Genomic DNA, 12,653 nt, shown 5'->3' with positions numbered 1-12,653 from the left:
CATCAACTGTCATTTGCAACCAAGGAGTTAACTGACTATATACAATACTATACCATGCTATACTATACGTACACACGTGTGCACGCATGCACACACACAGGCACACAGTTACAGTGCAGCACACAGAAGTGTGATGGTAGCTTCTGGAGTTTGGAGTCAGCCATGCTTCACCCATGCATGTTGCGTGTATTCACCCCCAGGCTGAAGACCCCTCTGTGTGCACTTGCTGGTGGTCTCTGGCTGCTGGTGCTGGAGCAGTGCGGGTGAATCCCGGTCTGCGCTCCGGGGACACAGCCTTGTCCACATGCTCCTGAGTGGTGGGCCAAGCACATTCTCTCAGGGCAGAGCAAGGGCGCCGTCCTGGGCTTTGCTTCTTCCAGCGCAAGCTGCTGCAAGGTTGGCGAACCATTTTCAGTTATTTGTCCTAATCAGGCACACATGGCACTGGCACATCTGGGTGAGTGTGGGCTCTCATTCTCTTCTCCACCCACCTACCAGTGCAGGCAGCAAGAAGCACCGCCGAGGTGGGAGGCCCAAGGCCAGCACTGGCTGGGAAGGAGGATGAAGGACCCAAGTGGAGACAGAGGGAGAATCCCTGGGAGCAGCCTTAGGGGCCCAGGTCTCTGTCCCATGCCTCACGTGACACCTCCTCCACCTGGTGCCAAGTCTAAGTCCTTTATCGTGAGACCTTTCCCTGAGCTCCCAAGCCTAAGGTTTCGTGTTTTACTCCCAATTCCCAGCTCCAGATTCTCCTGAACTAAGCCATAACTCTATTTACATCCACTGTTGGTATCACGTGTTTTCCTGAGACTTAGAAGGTAAAGAAGATGGAAGGTTTCAGGGAACCAGAGTATGACAGGCAGATGTGGACACTGCAGCCACCAAGGGCGACTTTGTCTCTTCACGATTTCGCTTGGGCATGGCCTTGAATGTGGGTTAAACTGACAAAGTCTCAAGGATTTCATGTGTCGTCTGCAGAAGCTTCAGCTGTGCCTGACTCAGGGTATCGGAATGATGGCGGCACTGCTCTGTTGACCTTGGCATCTGACCTCATTCTTTGTCCTCTTGGCTCCAGCAGGCTTCCAAATGATCATTTTTAACTTTTTTTTTTTTAAACAGCCTTGTCGGTTGGTGCTTTGGTTGTATTCAGCTTTTGTGTTCAAGTTCAGAGCAGTTTCAAGTGAGTAGCGTTCACAACAGATGGCCCCTGTGGCTGCCCTCCCTCGAGCAAACCCCCGGGTTCCCAGAGCAGGCTGTTGACTCTGCCAAGACACCTGTGCCTTTTGCGGTTTCTTCTCTGTGGCATTTGAGGGTGCAGTCACTGAAAAAGCAACCCCCGGGGGAAAGGTTCTTAAACATGTCTGTTCACATTCACTGCCTCTTGGAAAAGAAGAGCTTCTCTGGATCTCCACTGTCTTCACCACATTCCGAGTCCTTGCCACGGCCTTGGGATGGCTGTGCAAAGTCACGAGCTTGTCTGACAGCCAGCGATGCTGTTTATCATGATAGAGATTTGAGTGAGGCTGGGCGCGGTGTCTCACACCTGTAATCCCAGCACTTTGGGAGGCCGAGACAGGTGGATCACTTGAGGCCAGGAGTTCGAGACCAGCCTGGCCAACATGGCGAAACCCTATCTCTACTGAAAATACAAAAAATTAGCCAGACGTGATAGTGGGCGCCTGTAATCCCAGCTACTTGGGAGGCCGAGGCAGGACAATCACCTGAACCCGGGAGGTGGAGGCTGTAGTGAGCCGAGATAACACCAATGCACTCCAGTCTAGGTGACAGAGCGCAACTCTGTCTCAAAAAAACAAAAACAAAAACCCCAAAAACCAAAAAACAAAAAACTGATGTCTGGTAGATAGAATGACAAAATAAGCATTAATTTTTACTTGTTTATCTCTTCTAAGAGCAGGGGACGAGGTCTGGTAGATCTATTTAGAAGCTGTGTATGAGTGTGTCTACTTAATGGGTTCTCTTCCATTTCATCAACAAAAGAACTTTTTCTGAGAGCCTATCGTGTCCATGGAGAGCAGCTGAGGTAAATCCTGGAGGTGACTGTCCCCCTAGGAGATGATGTGGATGGGGAAATAGTTCATACGCAGCTCAGCGACCTTGAAGCGGCATCCGAGGAGATGTGGCCACGGGGCAGGCGACCGACACCAGCGAGTCCAGAGGGCCAGCGTGTGCACCACTGTGTGTCTCCAGAGACTTCAGGAAGCAGCCACCACGCCCGAGGTGAGAGTGATTCCAAGAGTGCAGAAACGGGAGCAAGGGCTGGGGCTGGAAGGGAGGGTGGAAGACAGGAGAACCAGGCCTGAGGGGAGTTTAGGCAAACAGCTGATCCCAGTGGAGCTTGGAGGGGAGGCTGGGTGCAGACCCAAAGGCTGAGGGACAAACTAAAGGAAGCATCAGAGATCGCTGAGCAAGAAAGTGACCAAAAAAAGAAAAACAAGCTGACACTGGTGACTATCCCAAACTAATCTGCTTTTTCCAGGTTACTTTTCAACACGGTATGCAGAGTACCTTTTTTTGATAAACAAATATTATATGTATTTATGGTGCATAACATTATGTTTTAAAATATGTATTCATTGTTGAATTATGAAATCAAGCTAATAACATTGCAGCCTCACATACTTACCATTTTTGTGTGGTGAGAACCCTTCAACACTACTCTTAGCAATTTTCTTGTTTGTTTTTTTTGGGGTTTTGTTTTTTGAGACAGAGTCTCACTCTTGTCGCCCAGGCTGGAGTACAGTGGCGTGTTCTTGGTTCACTGCAACCTCCGCCTCTTGGGTTCAAGCGATTCTCCTGCCTCAGCCTCCCCTGTAGTTGGCATTACAGGCACCCCTCACCATGCCTGGCTAATTTTTCTCTATTTTTAGTAGAGACAGGGTTTCACCATGTTGGCCAGGCTAGTCTCAAACTCCTGACCTCAGGTGATCCGCCCGCCTCGGCCTCCCAAAGTGCTGGGATTGCAGGCGTAAGCCACCACACCCGACCTACTCTTAGCAATTTTCAATTATACTATCCGCTGTTATTAGCTACAGTCACCAGAGCACACTTTCCCCATGCTTGTTTATCACCTGTCTAAAATGTAAGCTCCTCAAGAGGGCAGGGGTCTGCAGTGCCTAGAACCATGTCTGTCACGTAGTAGGTGCTCAGTCAATATGTGCTGAATAATTATTATCTTCAAATTTCTCTCAAGACCAAAATATGTTTAAAATGCCAAATACTGTAAAGAGAGATATTGAAAAGTAAGAGTTTCTCTCTGTTGAAACTCATCTGCCTGAATTTATCTATTTTTCTAAAAGTCCTGACAGTGAGAAGGATGGTCTGGTTGGGGAGATCCCGGCCACAGCTGTACCAGGAGGAGTCATTTTGCAGTTGAAGGGAAGTGGGAAACCATTCTGGGGTGGGAATGAAGAGCTGCTGGAAGAAACCACAGTGCTGGCCTCTGTTCAGGAACCACTAATTATTTTCCCCCCAAATAAAAGCTCAGTGAAGAATGGCCACTCAGCATGTCAAATTTAGTTTCAAACACTGGTCATTCAGCACAGAACAAAATAGCCTTCAAAGATGCCTACCTACTGGAAACTCAGTGTATCATCTTAAATTTATTTACTTATTTTTTATTTTTTTATTTTTTTGAGAGAGAGGGTCTCACTGTTTTGCCCAGTCTGGAGTGCAGTGGTGCAATCTCAGCTCGCTGCAGCTAGGACCTCCCGGGCTCAAGTGACCCTCCCACCTCAGCCTCCCGAGTATCTGGGACTACCAGTGCACCACCACGCCTGACTAATTTTTGTAGAGATGGGGTCTTGCTATGTTGCCCAGGCTGGTCTCAAACTCCTGGGCTCAAGCAATCCACCCACCTCGGCCTCCCCTAGTGCTGGGATTACAGGCGTGATCTACGGCACCTGGCCTCATCTTACATTTAAACTCTGAGGCAGTGTGTGTGTGCACATTTATATTGTGTGACATGTGCCACTGTCACTGACTTTATTTATTGATTTATTTTTGAGACAGAGTTTCACTCTGTTGCCCAGGCTGGAGTGCAGTGGCACTGTCTCGGCTCGCTGTAACCTCCACCTCCCAGGTTCAAACAATTCTCCTGCCTCAGCCTCCCAAGTAGCTGGGATTACAGGCGCCCACCACCACACAGGCTAATTTTAGTATTTTTAGTAGAGACTGGGTTTCACCATGTTGGCCAGGCTTGTCTCAAACCCCTGACCTCAGGTGATCCACCTGCCTCGGCCTCCCAAAGTGCTGGGATTACAGGCGTGAGCCACCACGCCCAGCCATTGTCACCGAATTTAAATAAGAACCATCTGCTGGTGGATGGCGGCCAGGCGTGTGCCTGTTCTAGCAGCACAGGCCACGGGGTCACAGATGCCGGCCGCTTCCTCGGCAGGTCCTTTTGCCACCCTGGCTGCCCCCATTCACCCTCTCAGGGATGTCATCATTGTGAATGGAGTCCACCTTTCTTTCCACAACTTCTCCCTTCCCACCACACACGTGAATGCCGGGCATGTCCTGTAAAGTAACAATCTTCCCAGTTTTTTTTGTTTTTTGTTTTTTTGTTTTGTTTTGTTTTTTTGAGACGGAGTCTGGCTCTGTCACCCAGGCTGGAGTGCAGTGGCTTGATCTTGGTTCACTGCAATCCCCGCCTCCTGGGTTCACACCATTCTCCTGCCTCAGCCTCCCGAGTAGCTGGGATTACAGGCGCCCGCCACCACACCCAGCTAATTTTTTGTATTTTTAGTAGAGATGGGGTTTCACTGTTTTAGCAAGGATGGTCTCGAACTCCTAGCCTCAAGCAATCCGCCCACCTCGGCCTCCCAAAGTGCTAGAATTACAGGCGTGAGCCACCCGCCCAGCCCAGTCTTCCCAGTATTAAGCGGGAAATGGTCTTGTGCACTTCAAATGCATAGCACACGTTTTATAAGAAATTAAAGCAATGACAGTCTGACTGAGGATGACACTTTATACATTGAAAAATCCCACACTATGCAGCAAATGACCACATTCAGGCGTGCAATGCAGGGCCCGAGCCTCCTGTGTCTGCTGGCGGCCCTGGGTCTCTCTCCACCCCCCTCACCCTGTGTCTGTCCAGTGGCCACCCTGCAGGGACCAGATTTGCAGGCTCCATCACCCCCTCCTTTCCAGGCAACTCTAGCTTTCGAGGTCCCCCACAGGAGACCAGAGGGGAGCCAGGGCCAGGAGACAATTCTGATAAGAGATGATGGTGGCTTAGACCAGGCGACAGTGACAATGATAAGACATGGTCACATTCAGGAGATGCTTGGAAGTGGCACCAGGCTCAGGTGATCCTCCCACCTCAGCCTCCTGGGTAGCTGGGACTACAGTTGTACACCACCACACTTTGCGAATATTTTGTATTTTTTGTAGAGACAGGGTCTCGTCATGTTGCCCAGGCTGGCCTTGAACTCCTGGGCTCAAATGACCCTCCTACCTTGGGCTCTCTCAAAGTGCTGGGATTACAGGTGTGAGCCATCACAGCCAGCCTAATGCCTTGCTTACGATATCCTTGTAGATAAGTTACACACACATTTCAAAAAGCAATGCCCAGTCTTGGACTGTCTGCTTCAGAAGGATGATCTATTTTAGAAACAGTCATGGCTGACAGAGGCTCCTAAGGCCAAGTTTCTTAGGTCCCCATTTTGAGCTCCACTCTTCATTAACTCTTAATACAATTTTAATAAATACACTTGGCTATTTTGGTTTTCCACATAGCAGATTATATGTGACAAACTAAGAGGTGGGGGACTCAGGAGGGGAGGGGAGCTGGGAGAATACGGGGCTTGAATGGCCAAGTAGCAGGACCTGCTGCTACATGCAAAATGACAGTTGGAGAGCAGCAGTCTCGTCATCGTCATTCATTTATTCATCACATATTCATTAAGCAAGTGATACATACAGGCACTGTGCAAACACACTTCGCCAGCTAGGGAGAGAAAAACTGATCAAAGAGCACACAGACAATCCCATAGGGATTAAAATACAACACAGTCAATAATAACAAAACATAGGTTTCAATATCCCCTGCTTTAGAAGCTGAATCTCTTGAGAGAGATTTCCTTCCAGTGGTTAAAAATGAAAAGTGTTGGCATTTAAATGAGTATCAGTTATTTGGAAAACTCTCATAACTAGGATATTTCATTGCCTAACTACACCATTTCAGGGTATTTTAGTTAATATGCAAATTGCTAACAGCTGTGAGAACAAAACCACCACTGCATCATCACAATGGACCGAAGATGCCGGCGGGTTTTGCTGAGCTCTCTTAATTAAGAACTGCTATGGAATTTTTTTTAAAAAAGAGTATATATACATATATAAAATTTACAGAAAATATTATTGAAAATACTTATATTCACAGAATTTATTATCTTGGAAAAACAAATATTTTCAGAGCATCTAAATACAAAGCATCTCCATTCAAAGAAACTTTAAAAAAATTGTCGGCTGGGTGCGGTGGCTCACGCCTGTAATCACGGCACTTTGAGGGGAACCAAGGTGGGTGGATCACCTGAGGTCAGGAGTTCGAGACCAGCCTGGCCAACATGGTGAAACCCCATCTCTACTAAAAATACAAAAATTAGCCGGGCCTGGTGGCGGGTGTCTGTAATCCCAGCTACTCAGGAGGCTGAGGCAGGAGAATCGCTTGAACCTGGGAGGTGGAGGTTGCAGTGAGCCAAGATCGTGCCTTTGCACTCCAGCCTGGGCAACAAAAGCAAAACTCCGTGTCAGAAAAAAAGGGTCATTTTGTTTGTTTCAGTATAGTTTTAATCTGTTTAGAATTTTAAATTGAATTGCTGCCAGATAAATTAAGCTTCGTCCTCACCTCTTATTTCCTTTTACCTGATTTACCTTTTCTCAAAGGAAAGAGACAATTATATTTCTGCCAGCAGTAATGATTTTTTTCCCTACGAATATACAATATCCTTTAAAAACCATGTCATCTCAAGGTCAAAGAAAACAAAAACCAATGAAAAGGTGGAAGAGGGAATATAAGATGTAAAAATCTTATTTAGGTTAGAAACTACTCAGTAGAGTTAACTTTATAATCTGATATACCGTTCTGCATTGTGGAAATAACATACAAAATGCTTAGACTTTCATAAAGAAAAAAGAAATAGAACTTATGCATCAAAAGAGAAGATAGTCAAACAGTTCCCTCTACTGGAAGGTTTAATAGGAAGCTGGACATGCCATATTCTTTCATACTGTGATTCACAGAAAAGTCAGAGAGCGTTCAGCAAACTGGAAATGGGTCACTCAGGAGGAGGGGCATAGGGTAGGAAGGACCAGCTAGGAAGCAGTTTATAGTGGGACTGTATTCATCACTTATATAATTAAATAATTTTCAAAAGCAACATACACAATTCTATGTAATTTTTTTAAAATGCATATATATGCATTTATATATGTATTTTCAAAAGTTTGGGTAGTATCACACCAGAAGGTTAACAATTTTTAACTCTGGCTATAAGGATTATGGGTGATATTTGTATTATTTTTATATATTCTTTTGAACTATATTTTCTGAATATCTTATAATAAGCATGCATGCATCTCTCTTGCTCTCTTTCTTTTTTTGAGCCAGAGTCTTGCTATAACGTTGAACTCCTGGGCTCAAGTGATCCTCCCATCTCAGCCTCCCAAGTAGCTAAGGATTACAGGCATGCACAACCATGTCCAGCTAATTTTTAATTTCATTTTACTTTTTGTAGAGATAGGTCTCACCGTGTTGCCCAGGCTGGTCTAGGACTTCTGGTCTCAAGCGATCCTCCCACCTTGGTCTTCCAAAGTACTGGATTACAGGTGTGAGCCACCACACCAGCCTCAGGCTTATAATTAGAAATTGATTCTATTTATCAAGAAAAAGTGTTTAAAGTCTGGTAAAAAATTAGAACATAAAAGTATTTTCTTTCAATGAAAAGAATCTCATTTCAATTATTATTTTTAACATACTCATTATCTGCTTTTAACAGTTATTTAGTTAAGAGTTTATTCCCTAAGAAACAAATATTGCAGGGCGGGCACAGTGGCTCCACCTGTAATCCCAGCAATTTGGGAGGCCGAGGCAGGCAGATCACTTGAGGTCAGGAGTTTGAGACCAGCCTGGCCAACATGGCAAAACCCCGTCTCTACTAAAAATACCAAAATTAGCTGGGAGTGGTGGAGGGCACCTGTAATCCCAGCTACTTACTTGGGAGGCTGAGTGACGAGAATCACTTAAACACAGGGGACGGAGGTTGCAGTGACCCGAGATCACGCCACTGCACTCCAACTTGGGCAACAGAGTGAAACTGTGTCTCAAAAAAAAAGAAAAGAAAAGAAAAGAAAAGAAACATATATTGCAAAGATGAAAATTTGGTTACTCAAAATCTGCCAAACTAATTACTGAGATAACTAATGAAATCATATGTAGGAAGTTCCCAATTTCTCTGTGGATTGCGTGTTTCTATTATGTGGTTATTTAGAACTTGAAACATCATGCCATAGGCATAATGCTTTAAATGTGCTTCTTAAGTTGTGCTTCTCAAAAGTCTATCTTATCCAAAATTTAGCTAAACTAGTGTGTTATTACAATAAAAGTAGTAAACAATATTTGCAATGAATAATAGTGAATAATATCTCCTTAATAGTGGCATAACCCAAACTCATTTGGAGCCCCTTGACCTGTGCTGAAATGAAGTTCCTCAAACCCCATTTCTACAGTGTGGGGAAGTCCAAGCTGCTAGATTTCTGTGAATTCCTAGGCACATATTCTCTTATGGACTCAATATCAAAAGAATGTGCTCACATTAATGCATTAATGAGTAATGTAGGTTTGACTCAAGCTTCTTTAGGGGAAAGGAAGCAGGGCTTGTATTACTCAACTCAAAGATCTATTGTAGCTGGGCACGGTGGCTCACGCCTGAAATCCCAACCCTTTGGGAGGCCGAGGCAGGCAGATCATTTGAGGTCAGGAGTTCAAGACCAGCCTGGCCAACATGGTGAAACCCGTCTCTACTAAAAATACAAAAATTAGCTGGTGTGATGGTAGACGCCTATAATCCCAGCTACGCGGGAGGCTGAGGCAGGAGAATTGCTTGAACCTGGGAGGCGGAGGCTGCAGTGAGCCAAGATTGTGCCACTGCACTACAGCCTGGGCAACAGAGCAAGACTGTCTGAAAATAATAATAATAATAATAAAAAGGTCCATTGTAGATTTTAAACTTTTGTGCACCAAAGGATACTATCAAGAAAATAAAAAGACAAGCCACAGAGTGGGAGAAATACTTGAAAATTATGTATCTGATAAGATTCTATTATCCAGAAGGTAAAAAGAATTCTTACAACTTAAAAGTAAAAAGATAAGTAACCCAATTAAAAAATGGGCATAGGGCAGGGCGCGGTGGCTCACGCCTGTAATCCCAGCACTTTTGGAGGCCGAAGGGGGGCGGATCACGAGATCAGGAGATCAAGACCATCCTGGCTAACACGGTGAAACCCCGTCTCTACTAAAAACACAAAAAATATAGCCGGGCGTGGCGGGCGCCTGTAGTCCCAGCTACTCGGGAGGCTGAAGCAAGAGAATGGCATGAACCTGGGAGGCAGAGCTTGCAGTGAGCCGAGATCACGCCACTGCACTCCAGCCTGGGTGACAGAGAGAGACTCTGTCTCAAAAAAAAAAAAAACAAACATAGCATCTGAATAGACATTTCTCCAAAGAAGATATACAAATGGCTAACAAGCACATGAAAAGATGCTCAACATTCTTAGTCTTTAGAAAGATGTAAATCAAAATTACAAAGAGATAAAGAGACGCCACTTCTCACCACAAAGAGATGCCACATCCCAGCAGGATGGCATGGCAAGGTATGGGGAAATTAGAGCCCTCAGGCATCGCTGGCGATAAGGTCAAATGGTGCCGCCACTGTAGAAAAATAGTTTGGCAGGTTTTCAAAAAGTGAAGCATAGGGTTATCATGTGGTCCATCAATTCCACTCCTAGGAGTGTAGCTGTGATGATTAATTTTGTGTCAACATACGTGGGCCCCAAGGGGCCCAGATGTTTGGTTAAACATGTTTCTGGCTGTCTTTGTGGGTGTTTCTGGATGAGACTCATGTTTGAATCAGTACACAGAGCAAAACGGGTTGCCTTCTCCAAAGCCAGCGGGCCTCATTCAACCCATTGAAGGCCTGCAAAGAACAAAAAAGGTGATGGCGAACCCGTGTAGTCCCAGTTACTCAGGAAGCTGAGGCAGGAGGGTCGCTTGAGCCCAGGAGTTCGAGGCTGCAGCGAGCTGTGATGGCCCCAGCCTGAGTGACACAGTGAGACCTTGTCTCAAACAAACAAACAAAAAACAAAACAAAAAAGAAAAATAAGAATCAGACTCAGACTGGAACTTACAGCACTGGCTCTCCTGGTTTTCAGCCCATGGACTTGGACTAGAACTTACAGCACTGGCTCTCCTGAGTCTCTAGTTTGCTGATTGAAGATCTTGGACTTCTCAGCCTCCATAATCACACAAGCCAATTCCTGATAGTAAATCATGTGTGTGTATACTGTATATATGTGTATACACATGCACCTATATGTATGTGTGTGTATATACTCTGTGTGTGTGTGTGTGTGTGTGTCCTGTAAGTCCTGTTTTTGTTCTCTGGAGAGCCCAGCCTAATATAGCATCTAAGACAAATAAAAGCATATGGTCACATAAGAACATAGACAGAAATGTTCATAGCAGCCTTATTCATAATAGCTAAAAAGTAGAAACAACTCAAATGTCCATCAGCTGAAGAATGGATAAACAAATTATGCTATATCCATAAATGGAATATTCTTTGGCAGAAAAGAGGAATGAAGTGCTGACATGGGCTACGACATGGATGGAACTTGAAAATGCGCTCAGTGAAAGAAGCCAGCCACAAAAAGCCACATATTCCATCACTTCTTTTCTATGAATTGCTCAGAATAAGCAAATACATGGTGTCAGAGAGTAGATTTGTTGTTGGCAGGGGTTGGGGAGGGGAGAAGAGTTTTATAACAGCTTATAAAGTTTACAAGCTAGGCCAGGTGTGGTGGCTCACGCCTGTAATCCCAGCACTTTGGGAGGCCAAGCCCAGCAGATCACTTGAGGTCAGAAGTTTGAGACCAGGCTGGCCAACATGGTGAAACCCCGTCTCTACTAAAAATACAAAAATTAGCCAGGCGTGGTGGTGCATGCCTGTAATCCCAGCTACTCAGGAGGCTGAGGCAGGAGAATCACTTGAACCCAGGAGGTGGAGGTTGCAGTGAGCCGAGATCACGCCACTGCACTCCAGCCTGAGCAACAGAGCGAGACTCCATCTCAAAATAAATAAATAAATGAAGTTTACCAGGTTAATGAGTAAGGAGTTTTGGTTTTTTTTTTCTGAGATAAAAAATATAAAATTGATTGTGGTAATGGTTGCACAACTCTGAATATACTAAAACAAAACCACTGAGTTTTGTATTTACAAATGATAAATTTATGGTATGCAAATTGTAAAATTAAAAAGAAAAAGTGCACAGTTTAGATCTGAAATCATCCCTTTCTCTTTTTAGGAATGCAGGAAGATGGACACACGGCTGGGGAAGTACAATGAAAGGCCAAGTAGGCAGCCTGTTCTCCTCAGATCAGTCCCCCACGAACACTCATTCCCGAGGACTCATCCAATACTAATAAGAGAATGCTCTTGTTTTTGAAGAATTTTCTGAAAGCCATCCTGACAAATTAAGTAGAGTATGCTGAAGATAGTCAGACTTTGTTTTTAAGAATTGAATATTCTGGAAGAGGCTCTTCAGTCCAATCTTTAGTTCTCTCCACAGAGCAAACGAAGTGAAGTGCTGAAGGCCTGGAGCCCGAGCTGTTCCCACACGGACTCCAGGACAGTTAAGGCAGGGTTGCCTTAACTAAATCTCTGACAACTGTTTCTTCTGTCTTTCTCCTAAAAATGGAATGCAGGCCATCTATTCTAGGGAAATAAAGGATTCTAGTTATGTGAATCCAGGAGCTTTTTTTGTTTGTTTGTTTGAGACAAAGTCTCGCTCTATCGCCCAGGTTGAAGTGCAGTGGCTCCATCTCGGCTCACTGCAACCTCCGCCACCCAGGTTCAAGAGATTCTCCTGCCTCAGCCTCTCGAGTAGCTGGGATGACAGGCACCCGCCACCACGCCCGGCTAATTTTTGTATTTTTAGTAGAGATGGGGTTTCACCATGTTGGCCAGGCTGGTCTTGAACTCCTGACCTCAGGTGATCCACCCGCCTCGGCCTCCCAAAGTGCTGGGATTATAGGCGTGAGCCACTGCGCCCAGCCGATAACTAACCTTTTATTTGACATTAATATCTAAGAAACAGCTTGTGTCCTCTTTAACCTCACTCATCCTCATGTATCTGCTGGGCAGTTGGGTGATTTTATTCTCTAAAATATGCACTCAGGACCAGGCGAGGTGGCTCACACCTGTAATCCCAGCACTTTAGGGGGCCAAGGCGGGCAGATTGCTTGAGGCCGGGAGTTCGAGACCAGCCTGGCCAACATGGTGAAACCCTGTCTCTACTAAAAATACAAACTTAGCCAGGCGTGCTGGCGGGCGCCTGTAATCCCAGCTACTCAGGAT

The 12,653-nt window shown here is 45.3% G+C and overlaps 1 long non-coding RNA gene across 1 annotated transcript, besides 1 other annotated feature; it reads left to right on the top strand.

Moving 5' to 3' along the window:
* Window positions 1,053-1,172: an enhancer, noted in NCBI's record as "active region_13105". NCBI's record gives its function as "activates an Ori minimal core promoter by ATAC-STARR-seq in GM12878 lymphoblastoid cells {active_cell/tissue: GM12878}" and the evidence as "EXISTENCE:reporter gene assay evidence [ECO:0000049][PMID:35858748]".
* LINC01882 (long intergenic non-protein coding RNA 1882) lies at window positions 2,110-12,046 on the top strand. Its single transcript, NR_110763.1, has 2 exons — window positions 2,110-2,238; window positions 11,602-12,046. It is a non-coding gene; the product is annotated as a long intergenic non-protein coding RNA 1882 (long non-coding RNA).
* The last annotated feature ends 607 nt before the right edge of the window (window positions 12,047-12,653 follow it).

Source organism: Homo sapiens, chromosome 18 (genome assembly GCF_000001405.40).
Source record: "Homo sapiens chromosome 18, GRCh38.p14 Primary Assembly".
In the NCBI taxonomy this organism is placed as follows: Eukaryota; Metazoa; Chordata; class Mammalia; order Primates; family Hominidae; genus Homo; species Homo sapiens.
The sequence above is the reverse complement of the archived record's forward strand: the minus strand, read 5'-3'. Positions and strand labels throughout refer to the sequence as shown.